The following is a 17,983-nucleotide window of genomic DNA, read 5'->3' as shown; positions in this document are numbered from 1 at the left end:
AGACGGGAGGAAGAACTTAGAGAATCAGCTGGGAACTCCTACTTGTTATTTTTTCAGATTCTTAAGTGGCTAAGATATTATGTTTGAACAGATGAAGCATGGGTAGGCTCTGAATTTTAAAAATCCAGCCCCGTTGTTGGACTGAATAGAAATCCCCATTAGATTCTTGTGGCAGGCTGCCAGTTTTAGTTCATAGAGATATAACAAATTTTGTCTTTTGTCATTTTTTATGTCATCCCAGGTATTTTAGGGGGGAGTTAGCACAGCCTGGAAAAAACACTTTAAATCTATTATCTTCATAAATATTCCTTTAAGTCCTATGAATTAATAATGTATTAGTCTGGTCTAAGAGGTTTAATTGTCTCACAGTTCTGCATGGCTGGGGAGGCCTCAGGAAGCTTACAATCCTGGTGGAAGGCACCTCTTCACAGGGCGGTAGGAGATAGAATGAGTGCCGATCGAAGGAGGAAGCCTCTTATAAAACCATAAGATCAAATGAGAACTCACTCACTATCATGAGAACAGCATGGGGAAAATTGCCCCCATGATTCAATTATCTCCACCTGGTCCCCGCCTTGACATGTGGGGATTATTACAATTCAAGGTGAGATTTGGGTAGGGGACACAGAGCCAAACCATATTAAATAATTATTCTTTATGGCCTCTTATTTAGAAAACTAAAGGCATAGGAAAAGAGAGAGAGGGGACGAACAGCAGACAGGATAAATGTCCTCTTACTTCTGATGTAATCTTTGTAGCTTTCACACGTCTTGGTAAGGATGGTTTCTCAACTGGATCTGCATGTTTTTGTTTTCTCCTCTTTAATAATTTCCTAGATAAATACCCTTAAAAATGGCCACTGCTGCTGCAAACAAGCAGGTCTGCTTTACTGCCCATTCAGGGGTTCTAAGCAGTCTATTTTTCAAGCTAGTCCCTTGTTAACTATCTTTTGCTCTCAATATTCATTAGACTAAGTACAATAAGCTGACTATTGCCTACAAACTATGAAGAAATCATCATCAATTACCTTCAACTTCTTTGCTTGGTCCTTGTAGTAAACCTAAAATTAGGGAGAAAAACCCCAAAAGTTTCAGACCAGTGCCACTCATAACGTGGCCTGCAGACTAGTATTGGACTATTTGTTATCTGTCTGCAATAAAAAAAGTACAGAAATAGTAAGTATGTAGCATTTTTATAGCAATTTGACATTGCCCTGACTTGCAAGTGCATGGTTAGTGGGTTTGTCCGTTGAACAGAGTACAGATCAGTTTGTTTGGGTGTTGTCAGACTCCGGGGTGTGACATAAGCTGTGCCTTAGTCCTATTTGGATCCTTTGGAACATAGACTGAGAAGCCCAGGATTAGAAAGCTCATCACCTTTTCCCATTGCTCAAGTTTTGCTGGAGGCTTTGTAAGCTTTGAACTCTCCCCTACAAGTTTTCAACTGCACAGAGAAACATTCCCAGTCTCCTCTGCACCTTTCACATTAATGACTCATGATTCAAATCCAAATTACTTGAAATCTGCAAAGGATCCATGAAGATGGAGAAGCAGAACTTACTTCTCGCAGTTGCTACACTAGAACTTGCCTGCCTGCCTGCCTGCCTGCCCACCTGCCTGCCTTCCTTCCTGCCTCCCTGCCTTCTTGCTTTCCTGCCTTCCTGCTTTCCTTCTTTTTCTTTTCTTTTTTTTCTTCTTTTCTTTTTCAGTTGGGTCTTGCTCTGTCACCCAGGCTGGAGTGCAGTCACAAGATCACGCCTAACTGCAGGCTTAAACTTCTGGGCTCAAGTGATCTTCTTGCCTTGGCCTCCCAAAGTGTTGGGATTATAAGTGTGAGCCTCTGCGCTGGGCCTAATACTTTTTCTAATGACAGTGACAGAATGCTACATAACTTCTTCAGCTCATTTGTGGTTCAGGTTATGTAATAGCAACTTGGGCATGAATTAAAGCCTCTCACTCAATGTCACAGAAATGCCAAATATATCGCTTGGTTGCGTTTAAATCAGGAGGCCAGGCTGTTCAGCTGTGGCCCAACATGATGTGGCATAAGCCAGGTCCCAGAGATGTGATAAGTTATTTAGCACCATCTGCTAAAATTTCATACTTGGGAAACTATTAAAATAGATTTTTTCCCTCTGAAATTTAAAGATTTATTTATGTATTTTTAATTCCTCAGTAGAACATCTGTTGTGTGATACCTTGTGTGCATTTATACATCCAGTGAATTCACCTAAGGAGAAGATTTGTACCCTATAAGCATGTGTTTGTGTGTGTGCACACACGCTTGCCATGTGCTAGATCAGTACAAGGAATACTAACTGTACTCCTGGACTTCTGTTAAATCAATGTGCTGAGTTGGTGAAGGACAGGCTATAACATTCTGAAGAGTCTCAAGTATTAAATATAATTTGTTTCCAAGCTTCTAAGACAATGTGAGATGAATAGTCCTTTCTTCTTGTTCACAAATAAAAATCTTTTAAAACTAAAACCAATGTTTTCAATGTCAAAGATTGTTTCCTTTTTTGGCTTATCAGCCACCACTGCTTCTCAATAGGTCATTTGCTCTTCCATCTAAGGAAGATTTATGGGACACCTATTGTGTGTCAAGTATTGTGCTAGATCCAGGTCTCTGCCTTTATAGGGCAGGCCCACAATAAGTAACAATAGCAACAAATTATTCATTACAATGCATGCTTTGATAGAGGCATTAACAGGATATATAGGAGCACAGAGGATGGAACATTTAAATCAGAAGCAAGGGAATTAGGAATGAAATTCCTAGTGTAGGTAATATTTATACAGAAGACTGAGGAACTGGAAATAGTTAAAGAAGGCATGCTTGTGGGCGTGCCCTTGCACATTGTGTATGTGGTTTATGTATGGAAGACAGTCCTCAGTGGAGAAATGACAGTATATTAGAAGACACAGAGGCATGATTGGGGAATGTCACACTGAAGTAATTTTATGTAGGAGGTCCCATACCTCCCTAGATCATAATCTCCACAAAGAGAGCCTCTTATTCATCAGTGTGCACTCAGAGCTTGGCACATGATAGGAACTCCATAAATATTTGTGGAACAAATGAATGACCTGAAGTCATAACTTAATAAGTTCAAACTACCTCTGCAAATGATAGCAAGATATTGGTAGCTGCAGTTGGGCTTTACTATGGCTTTTATGATTTTTTCTGGTAACTCAAAAGGGAAGACTCTGCTGTACAACAGCTGTTCTCATCCATTTTCTTTCCTTCACATTAGAATCACTTGTTCTTACTTTGCTAGTAATTATTGATTGATCCGTCAACTCTCTGTTCATGCTGGTGACATATAACACTTGTGTCAAACACGGTCATGGCTCTAAGACTCTCATATGGTTTTTTTTGATAATCCATTGCATCCTCCTAATATGAAATGTATATACTTTTTTTTTGAGGCAAAGCCAACACTGGAATTTAAAATAAATAATATGTATCTTTTTATGTCAAGGTGTTTTAACAGTTATAAATGTTAGACTTGATAACTATTAGAAAATTAAATTGTTAAGTCATAACATTAAAACTGGTTGAATGTTTATCATAAGAACAGTTCTTCTTTTTGCTAATTGAGCCATGGACTAGGAAACGTATGTCAATTTCATAAGCAGAACTTGAATATGTAAATACTTGACACACTGAAAGTTGATAGCAGCTGAGTAGACACTAAGGGCACACTTGATTTTGGACTTAAAAACATCAAAATTAGTAAAAACAAACTACTTTCATTCAACTGGAGAAAATGAGTTTCAATGTAATTTAATATTTAAAAATATCTTCATTAGGTTAGAAGATATTACATTAGAAATAAAATTAGTTTAAAATTTTTTATTTCTTTGAAAGATTAGTCAATTTTACTAGCCAGGTTTTGAACTCACTTTCAGAGGTTTGATCTTTATTATCTTTTGCAGATATTTCCCCAAATACCTTTCTCACTGTACACATCACCTTCTTTCTTTCCAAATTTGCTTCAGTTCATTTCTTTTGGGAGAGCTCTCTGGTGAACCTCACCCATCTCTGATTGCATGCCAACTCTCTGCTTCTGCCAGCTCTCACCCATGTGGCTTTTAATTCATTCTTTGACTTGTTGGCATGTATTTTTATTAATTTAATCAATGTCTTGCCTCTTTATTAAAAAAAGCATTATGCTCATGGCCTTTTGTTTCTAAGAGACAGGAAGCCATTCAGACGTTTTAGTAAAATTTGCTGAAAGGATAGTAGGGCATCTCTGAAAACTTTGGAGGGAAAAAAGTACAACCAGGACATGAAAGGCCCCGGGACTGCAAAATCAGTACCTGAATCCACTCTCTTCTCTTGCTGAACTACTAGCCTCTTGACTCTACTTTTCTCCTCTTACGTGCTTAATTGTGTTTTTCATATTTACCACCTTACTCATGGTTGCCCCGCTCCATTTAACTTCTGCTTAGACATAGCTTTTGCTTGAATGGGTCCAGCCCTGACTTTGGTCCTACACCTGTCAATGTGTCCCTGCCACCTTCAAGCAACTCTCATCTCACTGTCTCAGTTGCTAATGCTAAATTCTATATACCCAGGTCAGAGAATCTGATTTGCTGAATTATGGATGGATTCTCCATTGGGTGGGTGTTTTTCCATCAGATTGGGTGCTAAGTGTCACTTGGTACAAGCAGGATGGACTTTCTGAAAATGAATTGTGGGCCACAGGCAATGACTGGCATTAAAGTACAACATTATGTTGTACTTTAAATGTTATGGAACATAGCATCTTTCATAGCATTTAAAGTACAACATTCTTCCATAGCATTTTGATTATTTCAAAAGGCTACCTGAAAGATTGAAATGACTTTAGTGAATTAGAACTGCTGAATTCCAGTGGTCTTCACTATTTTGCACCCCTCCTTAATTAAGAATACTGTTTCTTTCTTCTTAAATGTCTTATTTTCCAGGCTTGCCTCCATACTCTGGTGGGAATCAAGCAATGATAGTTTTGCTTCCTTTAAGTAGATAACGCTCTCAGTAAATCAATTACTCAGATCATCCAGGTAGAGCCTGGGTTCAAAGCCTGATCTCTCTGGTTGCTTAACCATTGCCCTTTCACCATAGCTCTCTGTTTTAAGATAGCTCACATTAGTTAAAAAATAAACAATGAAAAAAAAAGGAAAAGCACAACTCTACAACTGTGTGTACTAAAAGCAAGATTCAAGTATTTTCAACATTCAAAATCATAGTATTTAATTCAGTGAAGAGAGAGCCCTAGAAAAAACTTGTTTCAAGTTTATAAGTTGATCAGGGAAATTTGATTTTTTTTCCACTGACAGAGCTTCTAATATGTGCAGTAGTTTTAGCCTTTGATATTACTATTATGAAATTCAAAAATACTGTTCATTTTGGGCTGGGCATGGTGGCTCACACCTGTAATCCCAGCATTTTGGCAGGTCGAGGTGGGCAGATCACCTGAGGTCGGGAGTTCGAGACCAGGCTGGCCAACATGGTGAAACCCTGTCTTTTCTAAAAATACAAAAATTAGCTGGGTGTGGTGGCATGTGCTTGTAGTCCTAGATACTTGGTTGGCTGAGGCATGAGAATTACTTGAACCTGGGAGGCAGAGGTTGCAGTGAACTGAAATTGTACTACTGCACTCTAGCATGTGTGACAGAGCAAGACTCTGTCTCAAAAAAAAAAATACTGTTCATTTTATTTGTCTTCAAAATGTACCTTGGATTCTTGCCATTGTCACAGGGAACATATAAAACAGCTTGAAATTCTGCCTTATTCTAAGCCTAGCCTAACTCTTTTTCAAGATCTTAAGTAACCAGGGGCTTTTACAAATGAACGTATACCTAGATATGATAATATAAAATTATGGCTTACTAACTTTAGAGATGCAACAAAGAAACAGCTCCTAAATGGGGGTCTGGAGACCAAAATGTCAATTTGGGCTTTGCTTCTTAATAACTATGTGACCTTGAGGAAATCCGGTCTGCTTCTCCAGCCTCAATTTCCTAACCCATGAAAGGGAATAATCAGGCATCATTATGTAAGACGAGTGTTGTGAAGATAAAATAAAATAATCTATGGGAAGCCACTTTGTAAACTGAAAGGTAATATAGAACTGTAAGTGGATATTATTATTTATTTTATGAGCCAGTAGAATTCAAAGTCCTGATTTCATTGCCAGGAGGATTTTCCTCACAGATCTAATTCCTAAAGGTTGGCTTTGCCCAGTTAATGAGTACTTTCCAAATAAAGATCCCTTTTACTGCTTTGATTTTTGTGAACTTCCCTTTACTCTGATTCAAAGTCACATGGGAAGGTGCTCTTGTAAAGCCATTGTTTAATTTAGACTTTTCATACTGCGTGTATGTCCGGCTATTCTCTGGTTTCAGTCTCCAAGGAGCCTTTGAGGGCAGACCTTGCTTCTTTCCCTTACATATAGTTTGGCAGCAAATGAGATGTTTTCAATAGGGATGAAAAAACTCTCAGTATGTAACCTGTCACCTAAAGGAAGGAGGACATCCTGTTCTAAAGAAGTTGCCTCAGAGCCGGCCCCAGGTCCACCCTGGTGTTTCACTTGTATCTCAGGCAGTAGCCTGGGATGAAATTTTAAGGAGAGAATTGTTACATGATATTGTGTAATAGCAATATGAGAAACCACCATACAAAGCTCTTTATTTTAGTAACCTGGACTTCTAGTCAGGACTCTTATCTCTGTTCACTGGTTTTGAAGTCAGTGTGCTTAAACTTTTCATGCTAATACACAGGGAAAGCACAAAAATGATATTTAAAGATCATCAGGTATAAGCAGATATACTACTAATTTTAATCTTCTGTGCAAAGGTACTAAGAAAATGTGTAGTTGATTTGCTTTCCTAAAGTCACTTGATGTGGCTTCAATGGAGATAATTGTTCCAAGGTTTTGTGTTAAACTTCACCTGTTAATTTTGCCTTGATCTTGTTCTTCCTGAGCTTTTGGCACCCAGGCATTGAGCCAGGGGGTAGAGCAAGATGGGACTTTAAAGAAGTGAGGGAGCTTTTGTAATTATAATCCTGTTGTCACTATCTGATGCACTGTGAAAAATGGAAGAACCAATAGTAGCCTCCTATCTCCTGTCTCTAGCCTTTTGTATTGTGTTTTTACCAATCTCTGGAATAATAGTCTCCATTCAGGGAACCCAGAAGACTCCACAATGCCAGGCCAATAGTTGGAATTTCCAAGGTGTTCGATCTATTGCTATTTGCTCTTTTCCTCTCCATCCTAGTACATTCTCCAAGATTTAATTTAGTGTCATGCCATAGAATAGGCAGATTGTGTAAAGCAGTAATAGGATCTGGTTGGCAGCCACTTCCTGAAACCCATGTGTAGGTGGTAGTAAATACAGGACTGAGATTCCAATCTTAAAACTCATGGTTCCATTTTTTTCTGTCCCTTCAACAGTTATTTTCTTCATGAGTTATAGAGGAATGTAAAAATGAACTGCCATCTAAAAAATATTAAATTTGATATTCAAGCCAAGAAATCTTAGCATTCTAATGATAACAGAAGCAGAATTGAGGTGATAGCAGAATTTTGCTTTTTTTTACTCTTAGTCCCAGCTTTCATTACTACAACATGCCTGGCTGATGGGGTATCTTTTCTAATGTGAATGTTATTGCCTTGTATCCAAACGTTTAATGTGGCCAACTCCTTGAAAGATCTTTTGCAAGAATCTCTGGGATTCTCCGGGAAGTGTCTCATGTCAGTATGTGAATGGGTACAGCCAACAATAAACACCTTCTCTGTTACTTGATAATATTCAGAGACCAATGACCTATTATCAAGCTAGCTATAGATAGAGCTCCTGTTTTGAGTGTCAGGTTGTCTAAGTTTTTTGTTTTTAATTCTAAAAGCCTATAATTATAATAGTCAGGAATGTTCAATAAATGTTTAGGAAATAATGAGCTAGTTGCTTTGGATGGTGCAGAAGGTTTACGACATAGAGAAGCAGAGAACAGAGCTGGAATGATGAATTGGTGTCTCATTATTAATGCTGTATCACCCATAAAGTGGGTGCTATCACAATCTCTGGATATATATTGATACAAATTATTATAAAATATTTGCAAAATGAGTATGAAAATGTAGAGTGGCACTGCAGTGGGTAAGGTAACAGACAGATTTATATTTGAGCCTACATCTGCCACCTACAAGCCTAGTACATTTAGGCAAGTTAACTTACCATTGATAGCCTTAGTTTCCTGATCTATAAAATGGCAACAATAAGATTTAACTCACAGGGCTGTGAGGATTAGATAATAGAGCATGTAAATATCAAATATATAAAGCAGTTCTCACACTGCCTGACACATGGTGTACAATAAATACCAGCATCATCTCTCGCGTGGATGGTTAAAATAGCCTCCTCCCAGATTTTCCTGCTTTGGCTCCAGCTCTGCCTCATTTTATTTTCAACACAGCAGCCAGAATGAGTCTGCTATAAGTTGGATGTTTGCTCAAAAACCTCCAATGGCTCTCCATTTGACTCAGGGTGAAAGCCTCATAATGGCCATTGTGTTTACAAGCCTGTCTCCTTCTCTTCTCCTTTTGACTCAATCTGCTGCAGTCACACTGGCCTTCCCCTCACTAGACCTTAAACATTCCAGGCTGTTCTCCATACCTGACATGCTGTATCTGCCTTATCTGTTTAATTTTCTACTAACAACTTATCCCCAACTAGCCCTTATATATTTTACTTGCTTAGAGTGTTCATTCTTTGTCTCACCCAACTAGAAGGCAAGCTCCAACGGGATAAATAATTTCCTTTTTTCTGTTTTGTTTACAGTATCCCTAGTGCCTAAAACTGAGCCTGGCATGCAGAAGCCCTCAGCATATATTTGTTCAGTTAGATTTCTTTAAATTGTGTATTTAAGGAGCACATGAAGTTTTGATATATACTTATCTTAATTTACATATAGATAGTGAAATGACTACCACAGGCAAATTAACATACCCATCCTCTCATATAGTTACCTTTTCTGAGCAAATGGGAGCCATTAATTACTGAATTCATGAGGTCTCTTATATTAGTACATGTATGTGATTATTGATCCATTCAACAAATACTTAAACACATAATATGAGCTAGCACTACCCTACACTCCTAGTTGCTGGAGACAGAGCCAGAAACCAGGCAGACACAGCCCTGCACTCTTGAGAGCTGACGTTCCTAACGTTATAAGAATTGCAGAGTAGATAACCCTAATTGTTAAAATATGAAAGTTTTTTTCATAATACTTAAGTGTGAACTTTATTTGAAGTTTTCATAACCTTTAAACATTATATTCTAAAACTTTAAAAAATGATTTTATTTATTTATTGTTGTTATTTTCAAAAAGTATTTAAAGGAGAATTAGAAAATTTTGTTCTAACTTTTTTTAAACCTTTGAAAAAAAGAGTTCTAAACATTTCCCCAGTGATTGGATTCCATGTGTTAAATATTTCTTCTCACCCTAGCGATCAAAACAACATCACATTTAAAATCACATAGGATAACTTTTATATATACTGCAATCTATAATCATTTACCAAAATGTGACTTGGGCTTCTATCTAATTTCAATTCCATATTTAATCTTGTGATAATTTGACCTAGGACTCTTGACAAAACAACATTATCTCAGAGTTTGCAATTTTGTTAACCTCTTGTGATTGAAAAAGGGATTATTTAAAACTTCCCATCTCATTACTCTGAGCTCTAGCTCAGATTTTAAAAGTTATTACCAGATTTAATTTAATACTTTTTCTTCTCTGATTATGAGACTAAGCTATTAAGGTTTATTCAATCAGATAAGTCAGTATCATGGAAGTTTTAAAATGATTCTTAATTAATTCATCTTTTTATTTGAATTTGTTCAAAATAATCTCTCATTTACTTTGTAGTTTTGATGTAAAAAAAATCAGTATTCTGCCAGTCTGCTGCAGAGTATGATTTAAAGAAGACTCTTTCACGGTGTTTTTTTCTGTGAAGGTATTGCATCAGATTGCACTGGTCACACTGAATTTGCTATGTTAAATGAAAGGAAGACAAGCTTATCCCATGCAAAGGAAACCTTCATAGCTCAGAGTAATCAAGTGGAAGGCTTGAAATACTCTCTTTTCTAATCACAAGAGGTTAACGAAATTGTAAACTCTAAGATAATGTTATGTTGTGAAGAGATCTGGGTCAAATTATCATGGGCAATTCTCAAATGGAATTAAAATTAGGCAAGAGGAAGTTCCAGTTGATTGTGATCTGGCCAGTCTCAAAGCTATAATGATCAGATGTTTCACATTTACCAGGGTTATATTTTGTCCTTGCAGGGGCATAATTGAAATTAAGGCCTAAGTTTGCGAAACATAGTGTTCAACGGGATCTTCTGCCTATTTTCTTAGCGAGTACTGCCTTAAGATGGGAAGCTAGATGCATCAAAGACTAGTGAATAGGAAAGGAATTAAAGGACTAATTTGTTAAAAAGAAATTACAACGATGGAAATTGAGAATACAAAATTTTGAGTGATATATAACTAAAACAAATTTTTCCTGTAAGTAAATCAGTTAGATAAAAGGTTGAATCAAAAAAAAAATTATTTCGTACCAAGATCTAGTCTTATTTAAATTTTATTTTATACTATTCTTATACAAACACAACACAGATAATTCTCTCTCAAGGATATTATAGAAATTGCCACTCCAAAATAATACTGCCACAAAGTGCAATACCTTCTGCTTTGTAGATTGTCGGATAAAAAATAAATTTAAAAAGTCCAAGAAAAGAAAACTTTTGTCTGTGATGTGTCTTGGAAAGATCCTAGACAATCTTAAAATAAGGTTCTTCTACTGACTTTAGATGAAATGGGAAGAAAATAAGAAAACTTTTAAAAATCCTTCGGTGACAAGTACTTAAGTTTTTAATAGCCTTCATCATAATTCCAGTGTATTCAACAAACATTTACTAAGTGCTTAGTATGTGGTAGGTGCTGACAACACAAAGATGAATATGTTCCGATTCTGGATTCAGGAATTCACAGTTTAGTTGGAGAGAGTAATAAGTATAAACAAGGAAAAAGCTAAATCTGTTGACTACTGAACTATCTGCTAGGGGATTTACATGCTTTATTACTGTTAATCTGTATGGGAAAATTATGAGGTAGATATTATCTTAAATAGCCATTTATCACTTAAGAACTTGAGGGTCAGCCAGTGAGTGGGGAACTGGAAATCAGTGCTAAGTCTATTGCTTCCAAACCTCTGATTCTTTCTATTCTAGGATGCTGAAAATGAGACAGATACACCCATGTCTTATATACATTATATTCATGTGTATGTACATATACACACATACATAAGTGTACATATATATGCATATACACACATATATATATATAAACAAATACATATATGAGTTTTGTATATACATACATGGGCATTCTTTGTTATTCAAATCAAATGTGTGTTTGATGTGTTACATAAATTTTTGGTAAATACAGCCTATATTCTACTGTTTTAAATAGGAAAAATAATGGATTACTAGTAAATCCCACTTCTCCAGCTAATGCTGTTACAGTTTAAAATACTTATAGAATAATTCTCAGGGATACTTTGCATGATAAAAAGCATTTATAAAACAAAGAATTTAATTATTTAATAATTAATGCACCACTAGTGGATGTTTGAGTGCAGAATGAAATAATGATGTGTAGACATGAATTGTAATTTCCATCCGCAATGGATATGCACTGTAATTTAAAGGAACAATGAAATAATGTTATATTAAAGTTACATAATGAATTTAAATGACACTTAACTAAGTTAAATATATGAATCAGTTTTAAAATAGTTACTTATTAATTGAAGAGTTTCTTACGTGGGGTTGGCAGGGAGAGGAGAGGAGAGAAGAAAAATGGAGCTCATGGTCAATAGTTCTATTTGATGGAAGAAGAATGAGCTGGTGGAGAGTGAGCAGAACAGAAAATGCCTGAAGTTTATTTTTCTTCAGTTTCAGGGAATTAGTGGACAGTCTTCCCTTCTTGACACTCAAGACTGTGTATGACTATGAACCACAATCTGAAGTCTTAGATGAAGCAATGGGACAAACCAACAAGCTCAAAATGGGCATCTATTGGCATGGACAGCTACTGATAGATACTCTACAACTGTGCTTAGGTCTGTGGTTTTGAATGTGACGCTTTACACATGCCATGGCCACATTCACTTGCAGTGGAAATTATTTTGTTTGCATGTCCTAAAATTTCTTTTAAAGTTTCAATATTACACATTCATGCCTCCTCTTTCCCAAGTAAATAACCAGTGATGAACACTGACTGGAATGGGTTCCTCAAGTATAAGTACTGTACATGTTATGCTAACAGTTTTTCAATATTTTCATTGCCCTAAATCCAACTTCCTTAGCAAGAGCTAATAGTTTTGCTTTGCACCACTTCCCCAAAACCTCACAAGTCAACAACAAATAGCCAAGCCAGTTTCCTGTCAACTTCACTCCTTATTGTGATTTTCTTTCCCAAGCCTGACTGATGAACCTGAGAGCTTTTTGGATACGGCATGGGACACATCTCATGTACCTCCTCAGACTCTTTTGGCCCTCTGTCCCTCTCATGGGCTACATCATTCTGCTTCAAGCCAATGAGCCACATGTCTTGATTAAAACATCAAGACTTGATAAACACAGTGTTGCAGAGACCTGTCTTCCCATGTGATGTGGACAGCTGAGGAAACCCAGAAGTCCATTGGGAGACAGGAGATAGGAAGGAACTGGAAAATAAGTTTTAGCTCCTGTTTTCTTTCCAATTGACTACTCCAAAGCATAGTTTATCTGCATGACCTGCCCACAGCCTAAAGAATTTAACTGCCTAACAACTGCATTTGTCTTCTTGCAGCACACTTTACATTGGCCAGCATGGTAACATATCACATATTGTCTTGCTCCTAATCCTTCACTGTCTCACTTCCCTTGTCCGTCACTTATGCTGTCCTGGTATTGTGCATCCATTAAAAAGTATTATACTTAATCTGTGCTTCAGACTTTTTTTCTAGGTAATCGAGGGTAGAGCAGATGTCAAAGCTCTTTCATAAATTTTCCATCAAAGTAGTGTTATCTATGTCAGCCCTCTGCACGAGATATTACATGTTGAGATGGCATATTGATCCACAGGTTACAAAAGTGACATGGTTTTGGAAGGCAAAAAGAACATCCTTAAGATATTATCACTAAATCAATAGTGTAAAAATTGTCTGAGGGCACTATTATAAAATAGTTTTGTTTGCAAGATTTTCCTTCTTTGTATGTACTTTGATCAACAGTGACAACTCACTCCTCATGTAATCATTAACTATTTCCTTTACTATCCTTACTTTGTGATTTGGGTGCGCAAAATAATTCATTTTCAACATTTCTCCAAAGGGCTTGGGTTTTCAAAGGTATTAGCTTAACATTGCTTTCATAATGTATATCTAAAATTCTATCTTTGGATATATAATGTCTGCACTATTTTTACCTCTTCTTTTGAAATGAATGCAACACTTATTTCCTAAATATTCCAGGTTTATCACCATTAAAAACTTGCCTGTGGTATGAATTGTTTGATTGCCACCTCACTATTAATGGAAGCTGTTTCAGCTGTGAGCTTTAAATTATGCAGTGTTGCATACTCTTAAATCTTTTTACCTATTGTGGATTTGTTTTATTTTTTTCATGTTTTGGGTAAATGTAGTTAGTGATCATTGCATGGAGTCTAGAGGACAAAAGAAACAAAACTTGTTGAATGCATCCTATCTCCCATGTTCTCTGCAAGGCATGTTTGCTTTGTCTAACTTGATTTTTACTAAAAGTCCATGAAGTAGATAATATCCTCCTACTTTACATATAAAAAGTCATGTGAACAGTAAGGAGTAGAGATAAGATTTTAACTCATCTGTGCCTGGATCTAGAGCCTCTTTCCATAATACTTTGCAGCCTTAGAAATCTTTGATATTTAGGTGTGTAGGTGATATCAAATTTTACATTTTTGCAGACTTACTTTTTATTTATTGATTGATTGAGCCAGGGTCTTTCTCTGTCACCCAGGCTGGAGTGCGGTGGCATGATAATGGCTCACTGGAGCCTCAACTTCCTGGGCTCAAGTGATTCTCCCACCTCAAGCCTGCTGAGGAGCTGAGACCACAGACATGTGCCACCACGTCTGGCTAATTTTTAATTTTTTTGTAGAGATGGGCTATGTTGCCCAGGCTGGTCTTGAACTCCTGGGCTCAAGTAATCCTCCTGCCTCAGCCTCCCAAAGTATTGGGGTTACAGGTGTGAGCCATTGCATCTGGCCTGTGAGCATACTTCTAAATTTCATTCCTTTCCTGAATGAATTCCCTCCTTCCTTACCTTCTTTGGTGTCTATTAAGCCAATACACCAAGATATTTATCTGCTATCCAAAAAATAGTGTAACATGATTAAACTTTGTAAAATGCACAATAATTAGAAAAATCATTATGTGGTAAAGGTAACACATGCATGGCCAAGCTTCTGATTTGATGTATATGTTTACATTTCTATGTTCTTTCAGATGTAGAAATGTATGGCTATTCTAGACCTCTCAGGTTCAACTTCTTTCTTCAGAGCCTTTCTCACTTTTTAGGAAACTTTTTTTTTTCTCATAATGTGGGGAAGATGATTATAACAGATTTATGCAAAAAGAGCATGGGGAAACTGTTGAGACGTGTCCTCTTGCCTGTAATCTTGCACAGTTTGAACATTTTCACTAGTGTGCCATGTATATTTAATAAAGTTGATTTTTAATTTATATAGTGAATTTTGTGTAAAAAATGTTTGCTATTTATTTAGGAAATATACACGTTGTGAGAATCCAGATAGCAAGTGATCCCTGTATGTGTGAAGTGCTCCACCAGTTCTATGAACAAAAAAACTATAAGAATATAGAGAAGTAATAATTCCTGCCTGACTGGGATATAGGAAGTAATATTGACAGGGGGACTGGCAGTGGGCTGACATGCTTGGAAAATCAGATAGAAGAGGTTTCACAGAAGGGTTAACATTTGAGTCAGCATAGAAAAGGGGTAAGAAGTCATCCCTTTCTCTTTGAAGCAATCCCTGATTTCTCACCTAGCTTCAGAGGTTACTTATCTTCCTCTGTCCTCTAATAGTGCCCCCTAATTTACCTTAACCACGATCAGCCTTATCTTTTATACCTATCCTAGGACGATGCTTGGGGCAACATAAAGCTCAGTATATTTATTGAACTAGTTATTCAACATTTATTGAGCATTTGCTATATGCCAGATCCTATTCTAGGCACTGGGAAATAGCAATGAACTAACCCCCAAAATCTCTGTCCTCATGATGCCTATATTTCCTTGGATTTGTTTTCATAATAAAATGATTATAACATTGAAAAAGTATGAGCTGTAACAAGTCAGAAGACAAGTAAAATTTCAGGCAATGACAAATCATGCAGAAAAATAAATCAGTAAAAGGTAAGAAAGGGCCTGGGAGTGCTACCTTGGATAAATTTGTCAGGGAAGGTCTGGAGAGGGAGCATGTGAACAGAGCTGTGAATGAAGTGAGAGAGTGAGGTATGTGGCTACCTAGGGAAGAAAGTTCTACACAGAGGCCATGGCAAGTTCAAAGGCTGTGAGATAGCAGGTGCGTTTGATGTGTTGTAGAACAGAAAGGAAGAACAATGAGGTTGGAGGGGTAGCAAGACACCAGGTCACATAGAGTTTTGCAGCCATGAATGAATGAACTATTGGAAAGTGAAGGCAAGAAAGTATGAAAGTACCATTTTCATTTCTGGAAATGGTATGGCTATAGGAAAAAGTACAATTTTTCCTAGGAAATAGAGTTCAAAATCTTTAGCATAAAGTTCATGGCTCTCCTCAATTTCACCTTAACCAAGTGGGAGGCAGTAATATTTTTTAAAACTAGGTTGATTGGGAGGCCAACGTGGCTGTTCGCTTGAGCCCAAGAGTTTGAGACTAGCCTGGGCTCTATGGCAAAATGTTGTCTTTACAAAGGATACAAAAAATCATGCTGTGTGTTGGTGCATGCCTGTAGTCCCAGCTAATGGGGAGGCTGAGATGGGAAGATCACCTGTGCCTGAGGAGATCGAGGCTGCCGTGATTGCACCACTGCACTCCAGCCAGGACAAGTGAGACCCTGCCTCAAAAAAACCTAGGTTGAGGTGAAACTGGGGAAAGCCATGAACCTTATGCTAAAGATTTTGAACTCTGTTCTCTAGGAACTGGGTGACCTTTGAAGATTTCTGGGCTATGCTATAATATTTGTGTTTAATAAAGGTATTATTAAGGGCCTCCTGTATATTATGGGTGGGACTGTAAGTTGGCACAATAATTTTGGAGTAATTTATCGAAATAGATAATTCTGCTGTAATCTATCAGATTTTAAAATGTATATATAGGCATTTTATAGTACATTCACTTCTAGAATTTTACTTCAAAATGTTTATGTAAAAATGCACAGATATTTGTATGAGGATTGCCATTGTTTTGTCATTTGTAATAGAGACAATTAGAAAGAAATTAAATGTCCACTAATCGGAGACTAGTTAAATAATCATGGTACTTCAAACAATAGACTACTATGTGCCATTAAAAGAAGTGAGAGAGCTCTCAGCCTACTGATATGGAAAGATGACCAGGACATATTGTTAACTGGAAAAATAAAATTATAAAAGTATATGCAAAACATTAATCCATTCATGAATGAAAAAAATGTATATCTGTGTTTGTATTTGCATGAATACTAAATTTAGGAATAGACAATACCTTGATTAATTCTAGGGCAAGCTTGTCCAACTCATGGCCCAGGGGCCACATGTGGCCCAGAAAGTCTTTGAATGCGGCCCAGCACAAGTTTGTAAAGTTTCTTAAAATGTTATAAGATTTTTTTCTGAGATTTTTTTTTCAGATTATCAGCGATTGTTAGTGTTAGTGTATTTTACGTGTGGCCCAAGACAATTCTTCTTCCAGTGTGGCCCAAGAAAGCCAAAAGACTGGACACCCCTATTCTAGGGAGCTGTGTTTGGGCTGCAATAGTGGGGTGGGGCTGAAGAGAAAAGGAAATGTTTTACTTTACACTCTGCACTTTTGGGTCATATTTAAAGTTTTTATAGCAAACATATATTACTGTTTAAAATAACATTTTTAAAAAGAAGAATAAAAAGATGTTTTTATCCAAAGAAAAGCTATTGATGACAATCTACTGGGAACATTGAAGCTTTTTCTGAAAAACTAGCTTTGATAAAGAGTAATAAATTAAAAACCTATTCATATAAGGTCATCTGAAATGCTCATTTCCAATGAAATTAGTCTATCTAATTATCTGTTCCTGGTTCTAAGACAATGAAAACATCGCTTTAGGGAATTTTTAAAAATGTCTGTACCCTGAAATACAATTTGAATGAGCTCATTGTATATCATAATTCTCTGTGAACTTCAGTACTAATAACCCATGTTATGTATTGGTCAGAACTAATGTATTTTCTACTGATTTAACATTGCTTTTCATCCTAGGGACATTATAATTCAGGAGGATTCTAATCAATAGTCGGTACTTCTGATGAATTTCTCTTCAGATAAAATCTAGAAAAGAACATGTATAGCATTACCAAATAAATATTTTGGAGTTTGGTTTTGCAATAAAATTTTCATGATGTCATTAAAAATGTTAATAATCAAGCAATAACAAATGCCCTCAGATAATTAGTATCTTTGTATATTTTTTGTCTAGTCTACTAGTATCTGTTATCTTGTTGGTCCATGTCTCTGTATCTAATTTTGTTTCACCAACTAGATTTAAAGGATCTTGATGGAAAAGAGTGTGCGGTATTCTTCATCACAGCTACCAGCATGGGATGTACCCAGCAACTTGATGTGACCCTCACAGAAATTGAAATGACACTCTCAGAAGTCCATTA

The sequence above is a fragment of the Homo sapiens genome, chromosome 12, assembly GCF_000001405.40.
Source record: "Homo sapiens chromosome 12, GRCh38.p14 Primary Assembly".
Taxonomy (NCBI): Eukaryota; Metazoa; Chordata; class Mammalia; order Primates; family Hominidae; genus Homo; species Homo sapiens.
Note: the sequence above shows the minus strand (reverse complement) of the source record.